Raw genomic sequence first — 23,110 nt, forward strand, 5'->3', positions numbered from 1 at the left:
CAGAAAACATCAAGTCAAAGTAGTATATCTCAAACTTTAGTACTATTTAAAAAAAAAAATTCTCAGGGGTCACACTGTACCAGGTTAAGTTACAACATTTTACATTTTATATGAACATACACACAAATGATACTAAATTATACTAGGTATAAATCTCTTAGGCTTATTGCTCTTACACAATTACAAAAATAAAACATATTTACAATTTACAATTTTTTTTTTTTTTTGAGACGGAGTTTCGCTCTCGTTGCCCAGGCTGCAGTACAATAGCGCGATCTCAGCTCACTGCAATCTCCACCTCCTGGATTCGAGCGATTCTTCTGCCTCAGCCTCCCGAATACAGGCGCCTGCCACCGCACCTAGCTAATTTTTTGTATTTTGATTAGAAAAGGGGTTTTGCCATGTTGGCCAGCTTGGTCTCGAACTCCTGACCTCAGGTGATCCACCCACCTCAGCCTACAAAAGTGCTGAGATTACAGGTGTGAGCCACCGCACCAGGCTAAAATTTACAATTTAAATCCAATTTAGGCCAGGCATGGTGGCTCACGCTTGTAATGTCAGCACTTTGGGAGGCTGAAGTGGGTGGCTCACTTGAGGCCAGGAGTTTGAGACCAGCCTGGCCAACATGGCAAAACCCCATCTCCACTAAAATACAAAAAATTGTCCTGGTGTGGTGGCGCGCACCTTTAAGTCCCAGCTACTTGGGAGGTGGAAGCACAAAAATTGCTTGAACCCAGGAGGCAGAGATTGCAGTGAGCTGAGATCATGCCACTGCACTCCAGCCTGGATGACAGAGCGAGACTCTGTCTCAGAAACAAAATAAAAATAAAAATGTTATAAAAATTTTTTTTAAATCCAAATATAGGCTGGGCGTGGTGGCTCACGCCTGTAATCCCAGCACTTTGGGAGGCCAAGGTAGGCGGATAACGAGGTCAGGAGATCGAGACCATCCTGGCTAACACGGTGAGACCCTGTCTCTACTAAAAATACAAAAAAAAAAAAAATTAGCCAGGCATGGTGGCGGGCGCCTGTAGTCCCAGCTACTTAGGAGGCTGAGGCAGGAGAATGGCGTGAACCCAGGATGCAGAGCTTGCAGTGAGCCGAGATCGCGCCACTGGACTCCAGCCTGGGTGACAGAGCAAGACTCCGTCTCAAAAAAAAAAAAAAAAAAAAAAAAAAAATCCAATATAAAACAATGAGCTTCCATTTTAAGTAAAAATTAAACTAACGCTGGACTGTTAACTACATCACAATGGTCTTAACTCCAACTGCATGAGACCTGAGATGTGCTCTGTGGACACGTGTAACCACATTTTCTTATTCAAACTATGGTGAAACCTTCATTCCATTAATGCACCATGATGACAGCTGTGACCTTTACTTGGTACAAACGCATCATTTCCCTATTGTCTGCCTACTCCATTAAATATGGATACCAAAATCACACAGGAAGTTAAAAATATACAATTTTTAAGATTGTCATTAAAGCTTAAGACTTCAATTTTCTTTTTTCTTTTTTTTTTTTTTTGAGGTGGAGTCTCGCTCTGTCGCAAGGCTGGAGTGCAGTGGCGCCATCTTGGCTCACTGCAACCTCTGCCTCCTGGGTTCAAGCGATTCTCCTGCCTCAGCCTCCCAAGTAGCTGGGACTACGGGTGCATGCCACCACGCCCAGCTAAGTTTTGTATTTTTAGTAGAGACAAGGTTTCACCATGTTGGCCAGGATGGTCTCCATCTCTTGACCTCGTGAGTCGCCCGCCTTGGCCTCCAAAGTGCTGGGATTACAGGCATGAGCCACTGCGCCTGACAAAACTTCAATTTTCATAGACAACTTTCAGAATCAGCAAATTCCCTATGGGAGGTCTATAAGAAATCTAGTTTGAAAAATCATTTTCATTAAAACTTTGTCATTTACTACCTTTTATCTGCTAGAAAACAGAGCTGAGAAATACATATGAAGCAATCCAATACTAAGACTGGGAAATGGTTGCCCCTCTTGTCCCCCACATCTGTTCTCAAGGTATGACTTTTATATTCCAAACCAATAACAAGACAGCTTTTCACCTGGCAAAAGTATCCTTAATTTTTTGTCAGAAATAAATATATCAATATTTACTTTTTTAAAAGAATCTGAGATAGAGTCTTGCTCTGTTGCCCAGGCTGGAGTGCACAGGTATGATCTCGGCTCATTGCAACCTCCACCTCCCAGGTTCAAGTGATTCTCCTGCCTCAGCGTCCTGAGTAGCTGGGATTACAGGCACGCGCCACCACGTCCAGCTAATTTTTTTTTTATTTTTTTGAGACAGTGTTTTGCTCTTGTTGCCCAGGCTGGAGTGCAATGGTGCAATCTCAGCTCACCACAACCTCCGCCTCCCAGGTTCAAGCGATTCTCCTGCCTCAGCCTCCCAAGTAGCTGGGATTACAGGCATGTGCCACCATGCCTGGCTAATTTTGTATTTTTAGTAGAGACGGGGTTTCTCCATGCTGGTCAGGCTGGTCTCGAACTCCCAACCTCAGGTGATCCGCCCGCCTTGGCCTCCCAAAGAGCTGGGATTACAGGCGTGAGCCACCGCGCCTGGCACTAATTTTTGTATTTTTAGTAGAGACAGGTTCTATCTAAAAAAAAATGAGAATTGTATTGTGCTACAGAGTATTCCAAGACCTCTTTTATGTGTGGAAACTTCAGGAGGCTCGCAGAAAAGTAGAAGGCCAGGTGCAGAGGCTCACACTTGTAATCCCAGTGTTTTGGGAGGCCAAGGAATAAGGATAGATTGAGGCCTGGAGTTTGAGACCAGCCTGGGCAACACAGGCTCTACAAAAAACAAAACAAAAAAATCTTAAGTAAAGGTGTTGAAAAGCTGCAAGTGGGATAAGTATAGGTAAAAAAAGGTATGCAATGAGAAAAATGTGAAAGACGACAAAAGAAAGTTTTATCTCCTCCCACCAGTCTTTCCTGCCCTCTATAATAAATCCCACAAATGCCCCAATCTGCTTAAAACAGATACATTATTATCTCCTGCCTAAAAATTCTCTATTACTCCCAGAAAATACTTGTCAGCCCAGCTTCTATAACCCTCCACATTTTGGCCCAACCGACCTTTTCTGGTTTTGTCTTCCATTATGCTACACAACACTCACAGGTTAATTAGCCATGCATCAAACATACGCTGCATTTTTCAGTCTTTCCTCTTTTCAGCTCTTCCCTCTGCCTGGAATGCCCTTGCCGATCATTCACTTGTAAATACTTTATCCATCGTCCTAGAATACCCAAGTCAAACCTTCTTTAAGACAACCCTGCTCTATCATACTCCCAAATTTTAGTATTACTATTAGATTGCTATTATGCAGCTTCAACAACACAGATTCATTTTATTTGTAAGTTTTATTATCATACAGAATAAAACAACACAAATTTATCTCACAGTCTCAAGTGTATCAGGATTGTGGGTACAGGTTAGCTGGGTCCTCTACTTAGGATTTCATGGTTACATCCATTTCTTAAAAAATTTGTCAGAACCTCTCAAATCAGACAGGAAACTAGTCACTATAAATCAATAGCAAAACATTTAAAATGTTGTGTACCATTTAGAAATAAGTAACTAACACCATTGAACACTTATTTGAAATTCAATATGGCTAAGCCAGCTACTGAATAATTCAAACATCAGTGAGTTCAAGGTTAAAGATGACGTGGGCCATCCCAGGCTGTGAACGCCATGAAAGTCCATTCTAGTATCAACTGCTAATTAAAGTCAGTAGCCAAGAAATTTTCAAATGAAAAGTCTCTCACAACATAATTTTTGCCAAAAGATGGATCAGCTTACTCAGAGGATACTATAATTAGCAAGTTTTACAATGCTCTCTGATGCCCAAGATGAACTAACTACATTCGCATTTACCGTTAACCAATTTTAGTTCTGTCAAGCAAGGTCAGACTTAAGAATTATCACAGATATTTCCCAAGGTCCAAATGTAACTCAAAAGAATCTTTGGAGGCAAATATCTTGGTGTGTCTTAGCATAATTTTCTTTCACAAAGAAAGAGATACTCAACCAGTTTTCATGGCAAACAATACTTAATATATTTGACTAGCTTTATGCAAATCATCCTCTCTTAAAAGTAAGAACAGGCTGGCAGCAATGGCTCACACCTGTAATCCCGGCATTTTAGGAGGCCAATAGGAGAGGACTGCTTGAGCCCAGGAATTCAAGACCAGCATGAGCAACATGCTGAAACCGCATCTCTATAAAAAATACAAAACATTGGCCAGGTGCAGTGGCTCACGTCTGTAATCCCAGCACCTTGGGAAGCTGAGGTGGGTGGATCACCTCAGGTCAGGAGTTCAAGACCAGCCTGGCCAACATGGTGAAACCCCACCTCTACTAAAAATACAAAAATTAGCCAGGCATGGTGGCAGACGCCTGTAATCCCAGCTACTCGGGAGGCTGAGGCAGGAGAATCGCTTGAACCTTGGAGGTGGAGGTTGCAGTAAGCCGAGATCACGCCATTGCACTCCAGCCTGGGGGACAAGAACGAGACCTCATCTCAAAAAAAAAAAAAAATTAGCCAGGCATGGTGGCATGTGCCTGTAGTCCCAAGCTTCTCCAGAGGCTGGGGTGGGAGGATCACCTGAGCCTGGGAGGTCAAGGCTGCAGTCAGCTGAGATCCACCACTGTACTCCAGCCTGGGCAACAGAGTAAAACGTTGTCTCCAAAAAAAGAAAAGAAAAAGAATGTTCTCTTTAATCTCCAATTTTAAAAAGGTACAAAAAAAAAAAGATTTAGCATTCCTATGTAAGAAACTCAGTTAAGGTCTGCAAGTAAAAACACTTTAAAAGAAAGTCTGTCTTAAAGGAGCACAAAGTCTTACTGGCATAGACAGAATTTCCTTCTTCTTGTCCACAATAAAAAAAGTATTTCACAGCCGGGTGCAGTGGCTCATGCCTGTAATCCCAGAACTTTGGGAGGTCGAGGTGGTTGGATCACCTTAGGTCAGGAGTTCGAGACCAGCCTGACCAATATTCACCCATCTCTACTAAAATTACAAAAATTAGCAAGGCATGGTGGCGTGCGCCTGTAGTGCAGCTACTCGGGAGGCTGAGGCAGGAGAATCGCTTGAACCTGGGAGCTGGAGGCTGCAGTGAGCCAAGATTACGCCACTGCACTCCAGCCTGGGCGACAGAGCAAGACCCTGTTTCAAAAAAAAAAGTGAAAAAAATTATAAATTACCTGTATGTTAAATAATCAGGGACCGATTTTTTTTAATGATGGTATATCCAGTAACAATGAAATACTAAAAAAAAAAAAAGAAAGAAACATTGAAAAGAATAAGGCATTAGCCTGGCGTGGTGATGCATGTCTGTGGTCCCAGCCACTTGGGAGGCTGAGGTGGACGATAGCTTAAGCCCAGGAGTTTGATGCTGTAGTGCACTACATAGTCTTTATGATGAAAGAAGCATTCGTTAACTTATAGAAGGTCTTTATTACAGAATCTCCACTCAAGCCACAGTTCACCATGGAAGCTAACAACTCAGATGCATCTTCAGAAGATGTAATACAGCCTGGGTGGGGAACATAGTCAGCCCCCATCTGTACAAAAAATAAAAATTTTTATTAATAACCTGGTGGCCGGCGCAGTGGCTCACACCTGTAATCCCAGCACTTTGGGAGGCCAAGGTGGATGGATCAAGAGGTCAAGAGATTGAGACCATCCTGGCCAACATGGTGAAACCCCATCTCTACTAAAAATACAAAAATTAGCTGGGCATGGTGGTGCGTGCCTGTAGTCCCAGCTACTCGGGAGGACTGAGGCAGGAGAATCACTTGAACCCAGGAGGCGGAGGTTGCAGTGAGCCAAGATTGCGCCACTGCAGTCTGTCGCCAGGCTCCGTTTAAAAACAAAAAATTAACCTGGCCTGGTGGCACATCCCTGTTGTCCTGGCTACTCAGGAAGCTGAGGCAGGAGGATTGTTTGAGCCCAGGAGGTCAAGGCTTCAGTAAGCCGTGATTGAATGCCACTGCACTCCAGCCTGAGTGACAGAGCAAGACCCCACCTCAAAAAAGAAAAAGAAGAAAAGAATAAGGCAGATATTAAATACACAAGTAATGACACGACAAGCTATCCATGATATTCATAAAATAAAGTTATAGAATTTCATGTAAAATAAAGGTATACCTGTTTGTATATACGAGGTAAAAAAAAATCCAGAAAGCCATATTTAACTATCAACCAGAGTTAATTTCGGTATGGTAAGTAAATATTTTCAATATTTCAGTATGCAGACTTTCACTTAATTCCTGTTTTCAGTATACTGACTCATCTAGGATTAACTCTTTACATACTTCTACTTGTTTCTTGTTTTTTTAAAACATAATGAGCCTATATAACTTGAATAGGAAATAAATTTAAAGCAAGTAACAGTTTTTAAATCATATTTAGAGTTCTAAAATTTAGCTCATTCAATAACCTTTTAACAATAGTAAAAACATAACAAATCACACTGTACTAAAAATACTAAATTTAAAAATATCAACTATGAGGATGGCCTCTATGAGATGTAAAAAGAAAGAATACAGAAATAGAGGGGTATTCAGAGTTCTTTTGTAAACAGGACAAAGATAGCAAGTTTAGTTATATCTTCCACACTGGCCTCCTTCCAGACAGCTTTCGTAGAGGGGGGGAAAAATGTCCCACAGCAAAATTGTCCAGCCTCTCAAGAGTAGATAGAATCTGTGGATGGGGAAGCAGAAAGGACTTTTGCAAACCTGAGGTTATTTTCTCAACGCCTTTCAGAATTCTACAAGAGATGCAGGAGTAGCAGCAGCAGCAGCACCTTTCATAGAAATTTTTAATTTAAGTGTTCAAAAAAAAATCTGCTTTTTTCCCCTCCTTCAACAAACTAGGAGGCTTGTGGGCTTTCAGGATAGAGGAATAAAAACAGGTCAGAAAAAATTATGAAATTAACACAAAATTTTATTTATTTTGGTTTTTGAGACAGAGTTTCACTCTTGTTGCCCAGGCTGGAGTGCAATGGCACGATCTCGGCTCACCGCAACCTCCGCCTCCCGGGTTCAAGTGATTCTCCTGCCTCAGCCTCCTGAGTAGCTGAGATTACAGGCATGCGCCACCCACACCTGGCTAATTTGAAATTAACACAAAATTTATGCAGGAGAACTTTAAATAATATGGCAAGAAGGAAAGATCAGTCAAGCAAAAAGTGTTACATCAAGTCACCTTGTACTAACAGACTTGCAGAAAGTAATTTGACGAATGTAAATACACAGTTGTTTTGAAAATTATGCATCAGAGCAGTTCCTCAATTTTTTTAAAAATTAAAGAACTTTTTATTAAACTCTTGGGTGAAAAGGAGAAATAAATTATAGAATTTCAGAAAAACAATGAGTGAAAATTTTGCATAACAGATCTATGGGATAAATGTAAAGCAGAGATCAGAGGAAAATTCACAAGCCCAAAGAGCTACATAAATTAAAAATTAGCAGGGCACAGTGGCTCACGCCTGTAATCCCAACACTTTGGGTCCATTGCGAGAGCCCAAGAATTTGAGACCAGGCTGGGCAGCATGGCAAAACCCCATCTCTACAAAAAATACAAAAATTAGCCAGGCGTGGTAGTGCGTGCTTGTGGTCCCAGCTACTTGGGAGGCTGAGGCAAGAGGATCCCTTGAGCCTGGGAGGCAGAAGCTGCAGTGAGCTAAGATCGCACCACCGCACTCCAGTCTGGGCAACACAGCAAGACCCTGTCTCAAGGAGAAAAAAAAAATTAAAACTTAAATAAATTCCCAACTCAAATAGCTAGAAAGATAACAAAAGAAACCAAAACAAAGTCTAAGAGTAAAATTGTAAAGGTATAAGTGAAAACTAATAAGGTCAGAGAACAGAAAAACAATTCATAAACAAAATCTGTTTACTTAGGGGAAAACAAAAGCACCCAACAAAACAGATAAATCACTAGCAAAATTAATAAAGAAGATAGTAATACAAATATACAAAGTAAGCATTGATAAGGGAGAAATAACTATAGAGAGGAAAAATTTTAAATTCTATGAGATTATTTTCCATAGCTTTAGGCAAATAAATTTGAGAATCTCTATTATATGGATAACTGTTAATGAAAACAGTTTACTAAAATTGACCCTAGTAGAGAGAGGACGCTTAAGCAAACTAAGTTCCACAGAATAAATAGACAAAACTATCAAGGAATTAGCTCACCAAAAAGCACTTAGCCCAGACGGTTTCTCAGGAGAATTTTTTTTTTCCCAGAAGTCTCTATTTATTGGCTCTTGGGAGGTTGTAAGTTCTTTTTTTGTTTTTTTCCCCAATAGTTTTTGGGGAAAAGGTGGTGTTTGGTTACATGGATAAGTTCTTTAGTGGTGATTTCTGAGATTTTGGTGCACCCATCACCCGAGCGGTGTACACTGTACCCAATGTGTAGTCTTTTATCTCTCATCACCCTCCCACCCTTTCCCCACCCAGAGTCCCCAAAGTCCATTCCATTGTTCTTATTCCTTTGCATCCTCATAGCTTAGCTGTCAGTGTTTCTCAAGTTTTAGCCCATGCCAATGCTTTCTCACTAATTTTTATGTAATCCATGAGCCAAAAATCTACCGTTTTACTTTCTATAATTTGTATTATAAAAATTGGCCAGGTGCAGTAATCTCAACTACTATGAAGGCTGAGGCGGAAGAATCACTTGAACCCAGGAGGCAGAGGTTGCAGTGAGCCGAGATTGCACCACTGCTCTCCAGACTGACGACAGAGTGAGACTCTGTCTCAAAAAATAATAATATTTCCATTTTCTACACTTCCTATATCAAAGTAATTAGCCTATCTTTAATAGAAATTTTCTATCTTCCACCTTATTTTCTAAAGTTAAATAAAGATGATTAATATGTGATGACATCCTGAGGATTTTAGCAGTGACAAAAGTGACAAAAGTTTTAAGTGACAAAAACTAAAATCTTGTGTACATTCAAAATAATTAACCAATGAATAAAGTCTATATATTAAAAAAAAAAACAAAAAAACTACTTCTTCAGTCTACAAATTATATTCCAAAGATCTACACTACAGGTTATGTTCCTCATCTCTAACACCCACACCTTGTTTCTCATATTTTTTTTTTTACCATTTTCCTCCCAAAAAAACACCCAATGTCCCTTAAGTGTATAATCTCTAAAGTCTGCCTCTCTATCCCTTCCACCTACAATCACACACACTTGTCCTTTTGGGACTCTTTCACCTTTTAATGCTTTTCTAGCCATGGGTAAGGAAAGAAAAGTCAAAAGGCAAACAAGATCAATAAGACTGCTATTTTCAAAGTTCTGCTTTGCAAAAACTGCTAAAATCCTCAGGATGTCATCAAATATTTAGATGATTCATCTTTTTAATGAGCCTAATTTTGAACATAGTTCTAAAGTCAATGCAGGCAGGGTGCAGTGGCCCACATCCGTAATCCTAACACTTTGAGAGGCTGAGGCAGGCAGATCACTTGAGTCCAGGAGTTCAAGACCAGCCTGGGAAACTTGGCGAGACCCCGTCTCTATAAAAAAAAGTTTAAAGATTAGCTGTGGGCCCCGCACAGTGGCTCATGCCTGTAATCCCATCACACTGGGAGGCAGAGGTGGGCAGATCGCTTGAGTCCAGGTGTTTCAGACCAGCCTGGGCAACATGGCGAAACCCCATCTCTACAAAAAATTAAAAAATCAGCCAGGTATGGCAGCGCATGCCTGTAGTCCCAGCTACTTGGGAAGCTGAGCTGGGAGGATTGCTTGAGCCTGGCAGGCAGAAGTTGCAGTGAGCCAAGATCACGCCACTGCATTCCAGCCTGGGCAACCAAGTGAGACCCCGTCTCACACACAAAAAAATTAGCTGGGCATGGTGGCACATGTGTGTGGTACTAGCTACTCCACAGGCTAAGGAGGGAGGAGCCCTTGAGCCCAGGAGATGGAAGTTGCAGTGAGCCACGATCACAAGACTGCACTTTAGCCTTGGTGACAAAGTGAGACCCTGGTTCAAAAAATAAAGTCAATGTAATGGCTCTCAATATCCCCGGTTAGCTACAAGTTTTCAAATTTAAATTGTACTAAACACTACACTATTTGTCTCTCGCTCAAATCATTCATTACCACCATCACTACTGCCCTTAAAATTTAAAACATGCAGCTGAGTATAGTGGACCACGCCTATAATATCAGCACTTTGGCAGGCTGAGGCAGGAGGATCACTTGAGCCCAGGAGTTTGAGACCAGCCTGAGCAACATAGGGAGACCCTCTCTCTACAAAAAAAAATTTTTTAATTAGCTGGGAATGGTGGCGCACACCTGCACTCCCAGCTACTCAGGAGGCTGAGGCAGGAGGATCACTTGAGGGGTTGGCTGAGTTGCCATGAGCCGCCATCGTGGCAGTGCACTCCAGCTTGGGCGACAGAGCAAGATCCTGTCTCAAAAAAAGAAAAAGTAAAACATGTGAAACTGTTAACTAAATACTAGAATGCTTTTTATAACTAGCATATTTAAATAAGATCAACAGGGAGGCAGTCCAGTGTAGTGAATGCACATTCAAGATCAGGTGAATCGCAGCTCCATCACCTTTCTCTGGTGTCCTTAGTTACTGGAGCCAGTGTATATATTTAAGTTCATTTTATCAGCCTTTTGGCATAATCTACTATTATATAATAATTATGAAGCCAAGCACAGTGGCACATGCCTATAGTCCCAGCTACTTGGGAAGCTAGGACAGGATGATCACTTGAGACCAGAAGTTCAAGGCTTTAGTGCACCACGATCATACCTGTGAAGCCACTGCACTCCAGCCTGGAGAGCATAGCAAAACGATTCTAAATAAATAAATACAATTATAATAATAATGATAATAATTATGAATCTTATTATTTTGCTTATAATAACCTTACATCAAACCATGTAGCTCTCCCACATAAACACACACACCCCGTATCATCCCAGTATCACATATCTACATTTAATGTGTTGAATATATCTATTGGTATATTATTGGTCAGGAAAACAACCTTATTTTAATAGTACTCTCTAAAACATGATAGCTCTACAATGGAGGTATCAAAAACACATGAAATAAGAAACAGACACCTGCTTCCTTGATGAAACTGTTCCTCGAACACTTGACATCCTAATGCCTAAGAAATAAGTTTAAGCCTTAAAACTTCTTTTCCTATTCCTCTGGATCTAAATACTAACATTCTTATTTAGGTCAAAGTTACTTTCATTTGTCAACTCACTAATTTTCTGATTTCATTATTCTACAGTCTGAAATATTACAAATGTACCTTTGCCCGGTCCTTCTTTTATTTTCATCTATTTATCCCAAAAACAGAAATATTTTGAACACCGAGATTTAGTTTAATCCCCTCACTTATAGGTAATAAAATAACCCCCCAAAATTAAGAGTGTTTTCTAGATTTTGGCTACTAGAAAAACTTTAGTGTCATCATTCTCTTTCTAAAACACATTTTCACTGAGACTGGGGCTTCATGTATTTGCCAGAATCAAAGAAAAATACCAAGCTACTAATATACTGGTACCCTCAGGAACTCTACTGATCAAAGTAGTCTTTCCATCTTTTAAATACTATTTTTCACATAGCTAGCTAGGGCATGAAATGAGCAAATATACTAACATAGGAAAAGCTAAGTAGATGCAGACTAATTTTTCCTATTTGTCGCAATCTCCCAATGACTATTTTATCAAAGGGATCATAATTCAAAAAACACTCCTAAGATTCTAGAAACTTGTGTAATATTAGTGCTTTGAGAGGCCAACGGCAGGAGGACTGCTTCAGCCCAGGAGTTCAAGACTAGCCTAGCCTGGGCAACATAGAAAGACCCTGTCTCTACAAAATATTTTTAATTAAAAAAACAATTTTAAAGACCCTAGGAACTTAAAATTAATTAGCATAAATTAGGGTCCAGGTCTGCTTACCTATAATTAAAATTTATCATGCTTCTTTTATTAACAGAAAGAGGTCTTGAGGTATACTGAGAGTAAAACAGCCCTCTGTGGGGATGCAACCTCTACACCTTCAAAAAAAAGTATAGGAGTCTTATCTTTTAGAGGGAAACTACTAGCACAGGAAGATATACAAAGACATATTGTAAGTGAAAACACCCAGTAAGTAAAATGTGCTATTATTTCTTAACTTTTTTACATTTCCAACTAAGAGAGATACAAATTGAAAACTCATCAACCTCCTAATGCATAAAGTTTACAAAACAAATGCACAAAGTTTAGAAACAAATGCACAAGACTGAATAAACAGTATGACCTAGATTTGGGGAAATAAAGAGACTAGACGGTAATATACCAAATGTTAGCAGATACAGCCGAGCGGTGAAATAAATGTGATTTTTTTTAAATGTTCTTCTTTATACTTTTTTATAATTTTCCAAATTTCCCCACAGTGAACATTACTTTTATATTTAAAAAACTCATTAAAAAATAAACCATATGGCATCTAATAAGGGTTCACTAAGAAGGGCTACGTTGTCGAAGTATTACCGGCATTAATCACCATTAAAGGGGTGAACACCTCTCACTTTCCACTATTAAAATGCTGCCGTTTAATGCCCTATTACTTTTCTGCTGCACCCTCAACGATGTATGAACTTCACTATCTCCTGCCATTTCATTTCTGCATACAACATGCTTTTAATTTTTTCTTCTTAAAATATGGTAAAAGTTCTCACTAATCCTCAATATTCCACTTTTTAAAATCTACCTCTAAATTTCGTCATAACACAATTAGGGGGAAAATTGTTTTGCCCACTAATTACAACTTCATTAGGGCACCATCCCTTTGGCTAGGGTAACGTGAAGGCCGGGTAAACTACACGTCCCACCATGCATTGCTGCCTTGTTCAGAGTAGGTCTCTACGGAAACAGGAAAAAAAAAAATTCTACAAGTCCCACCTGTTACTTCGTTTCTAAACACCTCCTGCACTTTCGGCTCCAACACCAAACAAAAACAAAAGCCTCGTGATCTCTCGTCTGCTCCGGGAGCCAGACAAACAGGGGGCCCGGGGTCACAGGCACGTCCGCTGTAACGGGTAAATTCTATCCAGCTCCAGCGCTCCCCTCTCCTTTCCGGGGCTGGATGCACGCACAAGCCTTCTCCTATCTGCATCCAATGGGGGCTCTCCAGCCGCACAAGGGAGAAGAACCGGTTACCGTGCAAGCACCACAGACTTCCCCGTGCCGGGGCGAGGGCTACCACAGAGCGGAGGTGATATCGGCTCGACCCCAAAAGACAGCCTCAAAACACTGAGAGGACTCGCCGCAGACGCCGAGGGACGCCACGGCCCCGCGGCTATCACGTTCCGCCGGGCGCCTCCATTCCCACAGGGATCGCAACCCCGACACTAACCGCCGCCCTCTCCGCGCGGTTTTGTGCCCCTTCAGCCGGGTCCCTGGGCCAGTGACCTCCCTTTCCCTGCGACTGGCGGGCGACAAGGGAACAAAATCCTCCCGGCCTTCCCCTTCGCTCCCTCCCCCTTACCGTCTTGGCGGCCTCCGCCCAGGTCCTGCCCTTCTTCCTACGTCCCTTTTCCCTCATGTCGGGTCTTGAACTGACTGGGAGGCTCCCGTGTCCGGGCTCCGGCCGCCCTCCCTGCCTGCTCTGCCCTGCGCTGCTTTTCCCGCGGTGCCGGGAAAGGTGGGAGAAAAGGGAAGTCAGACCGGGGGGGCACCCAAGCAGAGGAAGCGGCGGGGGTGGTGCGCGGGGGGGTCTATGGGGCGGCCGGTCCTCTTGCTGCCGTTGCCACTGCTACCGCCGCTGCCATATTGGGTTCTTACTGTACAGGCTGCCGCTACGGTCATGTGACCGCTCCCGCGCGGCCGTCACTACTGTACGCAGCCGGCCGCGCGAACGAGCGCGGGCGCGCCCCCGCCTCCCAAGCCCGGCCGCTGAGCTATCGAGCCGGCGGTCTGCGGTACCTCGCCACGCCCCCGCCCTTCCGGTCTCCGCCTCTCCGCAGGAGCATGCGCGCCAAGGAGGCCCCGGCAGTAGCTGTAGTCTGACGCCTGGCGCTCACACCTACAGCGAATATCTGCCTGCGGAAGCGGAACCTGTGCCATCCGGGAAAGCTTACTGAGCGGATCCCGCCTCTTGCGAGGCGCTGCACAGGCTGTGTAGACCTGGGGAGCTGAACTCTTCCCTCAGTGGGTGGCTCTGCCAACTATCACTTTAGATCAGCCCTGCGTTTGTGTTTTCTCATTTATTTGCATTTTTACAGAGGTTATCTTTTTGAAGATAGGCAACAATTCTCGTCTGCCTATTAACCCCATTCGATAGGCGAAGCAACTGAGATTGAGTGACTTGCCAAGCTCATAAGTCTGGGATGTAGAGAAACCAAAAATCAAATTGCCAGCTCAGAGCCCTTTCCATCTCCCCAGAATGCCTCAAACTTAGGTGACTTTGTTTTTAAGGCCACCAGTAACTGCATCCATGCTTTTACATGTGAAGCTACTCATCAATGACAGAAATGGTGTCTTCTTTATTTCGGTGAGCTCAGTCCCTAGCATAGTGCCTGTACATATCAGGCGCCCAGTAAATATTTGCTGAATGATTCACCTATTTCTGTGGTCAGAGACCATTATTTGTAGTATCCGTAACAGCTTTCTGAAAGATCCAGAATGTGGCATCTTCTCTTACATCATCTACACCTTGATACCTTGCAAAGTAAGAAGAATGTAGTAACAACTGCTGATCTCCCAAATCCACCTGCTTCCAGAAGCTGCTTCCAAACAATCCAGTAAACTTACTATAGTGTGAAATAGGACTGAGGATTGGATTGCCTCTTGGGAGGAAAGACAGGTGAGAGCAATACTTAAAGTTTATGGATGCGTTTCAGAAATTCATGGACTCCCTAAAATTATGAACTATATTTTGTGTGTTATATGTGAATTTTTTAAGAGGATTCATAACTTTTCCTCCATTTTTCAAAAAGGATCTGTTGTGCAAAAAAAAAAGAGAAAAAGATATTAAAGGGAGTTTGAGAGGCCATCTAGAAGTATCTAGATACTTCCTTATATTTCCGTTCAGTCATGGATCAAACAGCCTATTTCAGCAATTGATATGGATATATTTTCCCAAATGTCTTTGGTAATTCATAGCCTTATGCATTACACAGGTAGTATGTACCACCTCCCTCCAAAGCTTATGTCTGTAGTCTAAGAAGGCCTTCTCGCCAGGTGCGGTGGCTCACGCCTGTAATCCCAGCATTTTGGGAGGCTGAGGTGGTCAGATCACTTGAGGCCAAGAGTTCAAGACAAGCCTGGCCAACATGGAGAAACCCCATCTCTACTAAAAATACAAAAATTAGCTGGGCCTGGTGGCATGCGCCTGTAATCCCAGCTACTTGGGAGGCTGAGGCAGGAGAATCGCTTGAACCTGGGAGGCAGAGGTTGCAGTGAGCCCAGAGATCGCGCCATTACACTCCAGCCTGGGCAACAGAGCAAGACTCTGTCTCAAAAAAGAAAGAGAGACAGAGAGAAAGAAAGAGAAAGAGAGAAGAGAAAAAAAGGTCTTCTCCATCCCTGGCTGTTGAGCTGAGTACAGCTTATCATCCAGTCCTGTTGTTTGGTCCTGGAGCCCCAACTGGTTTTCAGACCTTACTAGGGTCCTTACTTTGCATTTCTGGAGCTCTATCCCCAGGTTTGAATTTCAAGGGTAGGGATTGTGATGTTGTGGTTCCTACTTCTTAATCTTCCACAGATACAGATAGTTTATTATTATTATAAAAGTATAATTCCCCAAAAAGTATTTTGTCCCCATGTCTATTGATTGAATTTGTTATGTGTATTTGCATCTCTCTCATCATCCCCACCCTCCTTCTGGATTTCCTTAGATAGTCTGTTTCTTTTCTCACCCTACTCAAGCCCATCCTACAGGGAATGCCAAATCTATCTTCTTAAAACTCCACCCACTACCCTACTAAGATATCCTCCCTAAGATATCCTCTTGATTGAGTCACAGTTTCTTAGCTTTACAGATACAGTTTCTATAATCAACTTAGTCATCCTTTGATGTATCTCTGGTTACTTCCATCAGCATTTGCCACTCCCCTGAAGACCCCACCTCTACTTTCGCCTCTTCATTTAACTAATGACATTGCTTCATATATCATGTAAAAATTATTGGCCCCCCAGTTGCAGTCTCACCTTGTCTTCAACCCCTAAATTTACCCATAAGTCCGCGCATTCTAACTGCCTCCTCCTCCTTAGCATAGCCTAATCCCTCCTCTAATATACCGTATACAGGACACTATCCCTTCTCATCTGCCTTGGAATGTTACTCCACTTTTTTCATTATTTTCTAGTTCTGATACCCCTCCCCCTCCTTCTACAAGCATATTCAAGACACTTCCAGCTTAAGGAAGTCTCTTTACCCTACCACCCTACCATATCAAATTATTTTTCCTCTCTTTCTTGCCCATAAATATCTTGAATGTGTAACCTACACTCACCATCTCTACTTTCACAACTTCCACCCACTCCTCTGCCCTACTAAGTGTAACAATGCTTTACATCTACAAATCAAGGTCTGACTCTTTTGTGGTAAAGTGAATGACCTGCTTTGACAAACTTTGGCTTAGTGTACTGCAGAAAGTGAAATCAAGGATTTTTAGACTACAGATATTCAGCCCCAACCCCTTCAAATGCTTTATCTTGGAATCCACATGAGATTTTTATTTTCACAATAAAATTAACTTTTTTTTCATCTTTACCAAACTGCTCATTGTAAAAATTCTACAGATATTCGTTTTGTCTGTGGAAGCAGAGACTGAGCCTTGACTCCTTCTGCAAGTTATATATTGGAGTGCTCTCAGAAGAAACCTGTAACGGTGTGAGGGAAGCATCATAGAGAAGGGAAGAAGCTGGCCAGGCGCAGTGTCTCATGCCTGTAATCTCAGCACTTTGGGAGGCCAAGGTGGGCAGATCACTTGAAGTCAGGAGTTCGAGACCAGCCTGGCCAACATGGTGAAACACGGTCTCTACCAAAAAATACAAAAATTAGCCGGGCGTGGTGGCTCAAGGCAGTAGTCCCAGATACTTAGGAGGCTGAGGTGGGAGAATCACTGGAACCTGGGAGGTGGAGGTTGTGGTGAGCCGAGATCACGCCACCCCACTCTAGCCTGGGCAATAGAGTGAAACCCTGATTCAAAAAAAAAAAAAAAAGAGAGAGAAGGGAAGAAGCTAAGGAAAACCTAGCCTCAGCCTCACAACTTGGTTGAGCATGAATGGCCCCTCGTTAAGTATGTCTCCTCTGTAGAACCAAACTTTTCACTCAGATAAGATATCATCAGGTCTAGACTTGGCAAAGTTGGGGACAGGAAGCGCTAGCAAGCCCATTTGGCCCTCACACAGAAGCTGTTTTATCTTCAACAGTTTTATTATGAATGTGATATTTTTATCTCCATCTGCTTGTCTCCTGTAGATATCTTTCCATTTTTTCTGAAACTTGGGCAAGTTGACACCCTCAAACTCTAACATATAGCATAATTTTAAATAGTTACATAGCATTCCATTGTTTGGATTATGTACAATAATTTTATCTAGTCTCCTATAGTTAACATTTCAGTGCTATTATAAATAATCCTTGTATACAAGGATTGCTACTCAGTTGTGGAAAGAGATCTAAGGAATATTAATTAAAGTGAAAAAGGCAATGTATAGAATCACATGTATAATAGGGTTCCTTCTGATGAAAAAAATGGGGGAGTAAGATAGCCTTTTTTTTTTTCTTTTTTTGGCTACAAGTATCCAAGCCCCCTTCCCATATTTGGAAATTTCCCACCCACTATAGAAATTGAAAATACCTACCCTCCGTTTTGGGTAGGGCATAGGAACATGCCCTAGGCTCCACCAATCATTTATTTCTGCCCTAGACATTGAATCGGACACTAGTGATATTCAGGATCAGTGATGTCAGTGATACGAGTTGCAGAGTCTTCAAAAGGCCAGCTCTGCAGTGGTATTTTGGCCACTATTACCGTTAGTGGTAATTTCCAGGCTAGGATCACTAGATATCCTACAGATTCTGTAAGCGATCTTGTTTTTCTTGTTTGTTTTGAGGTAGAGTTTCGCTCCCTCTGCCTCCCGGGTCCAAGTGATTCTCCTGCCTCAGCCTCCTGAGTAGCTGGGATTACAGGCATCCACCACCACGCCTGGCTAGTTGTTTTGTATTTTTAGTAAAGATGGAGTTTCACCATGTTGGCCAGGCAGGTCTCGAACTCCTGACCTCAGGTGATCCACCTGCCTCGGCCTCCCAAAGTGCTGGGATTACAAGCGTGAGCTGCCACTGCACCCAGCCTAAGCCATCTAGGATTTAAAAAAAAAATTTTTTTTTGCCTGTTTAAATTAGCCAGAATTGGTTTCTTTTATCTGTCTTTTTTTCTTTAGCAACTAAGTACCTGGAATAATATATATGGGGAGTGGGGTGTGTGTGTGTACGTGTGTGTATGTGTATCTGTAGTTGATGCTGTGATGTGCCACCTAGCTGCCCTTTCAAGACTGAAGGACTTATTTCCCCAGCTTCTAGGGGTACTGTTGAAGAAAACTACCTTATCCAAGGTCATGCTGCATTCCTGTGACAGCCTGTGTCCAATGACTGATGGATATGGAGACTATAAAGGCCTGGCCCCCCTGCCCCGCTGTAGGACAATAACAGTGAGCCATCCCAGTTCAGAGCTCTAGTGGAGAAGAATGAGGCCTTTGTTGATACTGCATCAGACCTCAAATTCCCCTTCTGCCCAAATTTACTTCCTTTCCTTCCCCCACAAGTGTTGCTCCTGAGAGAACTCTCCAGTAAGTTTCCTGTACACTGACCTTCATTTTAGAGTCTGCTTCTTGAAAACCCAGTATGTCATCATGGCTTTATTAGAGTGGGGGCATATGTTGGTCATATGGAGTCCTGGTCCAGCTCTGACTCATAGTGAATCCACAATTGGGTCCACCTGGTAACTATTTCTCCTGCAGCAGCCAAAAGAGTAAATCAAAACAAGATCCCAACACAGGGAAAATGGCATCCCTAAAGACCTAAAGTATTCAGGGGTCTAGTCCTCACCATGTTTCTGTTTAATTCATTCATCTTGCCCCTACAAAAGCCCAGTGGATGCTGAAAGATGACAGTAGACTACCTCGAATTGAATTCATTAGTAATTTCAGTTGCCACATATGGTGAAAAATAATACACTTTTGGAGAAAATAGCTCCTGGCATAATATTAAGCCCTAGTATAGATGGAGCACTTGACCATGCAACTAGAAAACTGTATCATGAGCTTATTTCTGTCAGTCATCTCCACCAAATCATAAGGTCAGATGGGCTCACTAGCAACCCATTGTAAGATGGAAGTGGTACATCTGGAACTGTGCACAAGCAGGCCAGAGAGCACTAGAAAGCTGCATCAACAGATGATCCAGTTCCCATTTCATGCTCCACTGTCACCTCGACACCTCTCCTTCAGCTCACGTTATGGCTGCATGGGAGATTTTCCTATGACCAACTAACAGAGGAGAAGAAAAGCCAAGCTTGATTCATGGATAGGTCATCTTGGTATGTAGGTGTGATATGGTTTGGATTTGTGTCCCCACCAAAATCTCATGTTGAATTGTAATTCCCACTGTTGGAGGAGGGACCTTGTGGGACGTGATTGGATCATGGAGGTGGATTTCCCCCTTGCTGTTCTCATGATAGTGAGTGAGTTCTCATGAGATCTGGTTGTTTAAAAGTGTGTAGTTGGCCGGGCACAGTGGCTCACACCTGTAATCCCAGCACTTTGGGTGGCTGAGGCAGGCGGATCACTTGAGGTCAGGAGTGATCTGGGACCAGCCTGGCCAACATGGTGAAATCCCATCTCTACTAAAAATACAAAAATTAGCAGTGCGTGGTGGCAGGCACCTGTAATCCCAGCTACTCGGGAGGCTGAGGCAGGAGAATTGCTTGAACCTGGGAGGCGGAGGTGCAATGAGCCGAGATCTCGTCATTGCACTCCAGCCTGGATGACAGAGTGAGACTCCGTCTCTTAAAAAAAAAAAAAAAAAAAAAAAAGGTAGTACCAGGGGGTGGGGGGCTAAGGGAGGGATACCATTAAGAGAAATACCTAATGTAGATGACAGGTTGATGGGTGCAGCAAACCACCATGGCATGTGTATACCTATCTAACAAACCTGCACATTCTGCACATGTATCCCAGAACTTAAAGTGTAATAAAAAAAATTAAATTTCTTTTAAAAAGTGTATAGCACCTTCCCCTTCACTCTCTTTTCCTCCTGCTCCAACCATGTAAGAGGTGCCTGCTTCCCTTTCACCTTCCACCTTGATTGTAAGTTTCCTGAGGCCTCCCCAGCCATACTTCCTGTACAGCCTGTGGAACCACGAGACAATTAAACCAATTTTCTTTATAAATGACCCAGTTTCAGGAATTTCTTTATAGCACTGTAAGAACAGATTAATACAAGGTGCAAGATGAAAATGGACTTCACCAGCCTTACAGTCCCATTCAAGAATAGCTTTGAACAACAGGAGTGAAGGGACAGCCTTCCAATGTGCAGAAGTTCAGGCAGTGTACTGGATTATCTACTTTGTGTGGAAAGAGAAATGGCCCAAGGTCAGAATATAAACGGATTCATGGTAGGTGGAGAAGAGCTCAGCCAAGTGGTCGGGGTCATGGAACAAAAAAGACTATAAGATCAGAGGTAATGAGGTTGGGATAGAGATATGTGGATGAACCTATGAACACAAAATATGAAGATCTCATGTTTAATGCTCATATTAATACTCACCAGAAAGCGTAGAATAACATTGGCTGAGTATGGTGGCTCTTTGAAAGGCTGAGGTGGGAGGATCACTTGATGCCAGTAGTTTAAGACCAGCTTGGGCAACATAGCAAGACCCTGTGTCTACAGAAAATAATGTGGTTTTTTTCTTTTTTTTTTTCTTTGAGACGGAGTCTCGCTCTGTCGCCCAAGCTGGAGTGCAATGGCGTGATTTTGGCTCACTGCAACTTCTGCCCCCTGGGTTCAAGCGATTCTCCTGCCTCAACCTCCTGAGTAGCTAGGATTATAGGTGCATGCCACCATGCCTGGCTAATTTTTGTATTTTTAGTAGAGACGGGGTTTCACTGTATTGATCAGGCTGGTCTCAAACTCTTGACCTCATGATCCGCCCGCCTCAGCCTCCCAAAGTGCTGGGATTACAGGTGTGAGCCACTGTGCCCAGCCAAAAATAATATTTTAAAAATTAGCTGGGCATGGTGGCATGCGCCTGTAGTCCCCACTACTCAGGAAACTGAGGCAGGAGGATCAGTTGAGCCCAGGAGGGTGAGGCTGCAGTGAGCCATGATCACACCACTGCATTCCAGCCTGGCTGACAGAGTAAGACCCTGTCTCAAAAAAAAAAAAAAGCATAGAAGAAGCATGAAGCACTAAGCAAACAAATAGGCAGAATGACTCAGTCAGTTAACATCAGGCAGACTCTGTCATTGACCACTGCGGTGGTACATAATTCATCTATGAACATAGTAGACATGGTGGCAGGAATGGAGGCTACAAATGGACCCAACACCGTGGGTTCCCACTCACCACTGAACTTTTACCTACTACTGCTACTGAATGTCCAATCTGCCAGCAAGAAAGATGAAAACCAACCCCCTGATTTGACACCATCCCTCAAGTACACCAATCAGCCACTTGGAGGTAAGTTGCCTACAGTGGACCCCTTCACCTTACAAGGGGCAGCAATTCATTTTAACTGGAATATGCATCTATTTCAGGTATGAGTTTGCCTTTCCTACTAATAGAGCCTCAAAGTGTGCTCAGCCAGCACCACTTTCAAGAGCTTACAAAATATTTGCTCCATTGATAAGGGATCTCATATAACAGTGCATCAAAACAAAGAGCCCTTTTTTTTTTTTTTGAGACGGAGTTTTGCTCTTGTTGCCCAGGCTGGAGTGCAATGGCACGATCTCGGCTCACTGCAACCTCTGCCTCCAAGGTTCAAGCGATTCTCCTGCCTCAGCCTCCCTAATAGCTGGGATTACAGGTGCATGCCACCATCCTCAGCTAATCTTTTGTATTTTTAGTAGAGACAGGGTTTCACTATGTTGGCCAGGCTGGTCTCAAACTCCTGACCTCAGGTGATCTGCCTGCATCCGCCTCCCAAAGTGCTGGGATTACAGGTGTGAGCCACCGCTCCTGGCCATAAAGAGCCCATTTTATTTATTTATTTATTTATTTATTTATTAATGATTAATAGACTATTAAGGCAGGAATACATATAGTCATCATTGCCAGACTTAATATGAAAGGTTAAATGTTCCATCCAATTTTCCTTCCCGGATAAGTTTTTCTTTCCTATCTCTGTCAGTTTTGAAAATGTAATACCAGAAGAAGAGGGGCCTAAATCCACACAGAGTTCCCAAGAGTGAGTTTTTAGGAGTGGGTCTGAAATTTGGATAGACATTTGCTGATCTTGGATAGGTCCAACGAATCAAGGCAGGATCTTCGATGACCCCTCGGCGGCTGGGATCGTTGTACTGAAAGCAGGTACTCTCATTTCAGCCGGGAAAGAGCCCATTTTATAACAAAGAAGATATGGCAGTGGACACATGACTTTGGGATCTTCTGGTCCCAGAGGCTTTATTTTTCAAAAAGTATATAATTCTTCAAGTCATATAGCTATTGAAGATACTAATTGAATTTACAGTAGTCTACTGTCATCCTAACTACGCAGAAACTTTTGGCCTGATTGAGCAATGCCATGGCCCACTCATGGCGCACTGAGAAACCAGGGCAGAGATGTACCCTGTGAGGACAGACACCACCCTCAAAAACACATTTAGCCGCTCTAAATTAATGACCAACCTATGGTGTTATGTCCCTAATAGGTAGAATACGTGGGTCTGGAAACAAAGGGGTGGAAAAAGAAATGGCTCAGCTTTATGCATCCCATCCCCTCAGCTCTGGGCTCTGTGAGTTTAGAAATTCTGATTTCCAAGGGGACTGTTTCCACCAAGAGGCACAGCAAGAGTCCCACTGAACTTTACGGTTGCTGCCTGAGCACT

At 42.8% G+C, this 23,110-nt stretch overlaps 1 protein-coding gene and 1 pseudogene across 1 annotated transcript in view, besides 2 other annotated features; both read right to left on the reverse strand.

The window, feature by feature from the left end:
- ASXL2 (ASXL transcriptional regulator 2) overlaps positions 1–13,866 on the reverse strand; it is a 144,735-nt gene extending 130,869 nt beyond the window's left edge. Inside the window, exon 1 of the mRNA NM_018263.6 lies at positions 13,545–13,866. Within this exon, the coding sequence (NP_060733.4) occupies positions 13,545–13,601 (57 nt within the window). The 5' untranslated portion in view covers positions 13,602–13,866. The remainder of the gene's footprint in view (positions 1–13,544) is intronic.
- Positions 12,926–12,975: an enhancer, noted in NCBI's record as "active region_15466". NCBI's record gives its function as "activates an Ori minimal core promoter by ATAC-STARR-seq in GM12878 lymphoblastoid cells {active_cell/tissue: GM12878}" and the evidence as "EXISTENCE:reporter gene assay evidence [ECO:0000049][PMID:35858748]".
- Positions 13,886–14,045: a silencer, noted in NCBI's record as "silent region_11264". NCBI's record gives its function as "represses an Ori minimal core promoter by ATAC-STARR-seq in GM12878 lymphoblastoid cells {active_cell/tissue: GM12878}" and the evidence as "EXISTENCE:reporter gene assay evidence [ECO:0000049][PMID:35858748]".
- NDUFB4P4 (NADH:ubiquinone oxidoreductase subunit B4 pseudogene 4) lies at positions 22,289–22,612 on the reverse strand (annotated as a pseudogene).

Source organism: Homo sapiens, chromosome 2 (genome assembly GCF_000001405.40).
Source record: "Homo sapiens chromosome 2, GRCh38.p14 Primary Assembly".
In the NCBI taxonomy this organism is placed as follows: domain Eukaryota; kingdom Metazoa; phylum Chordata; class Mammalia; order Primates; family Hominidae; genus Homo; species Homo sapiens.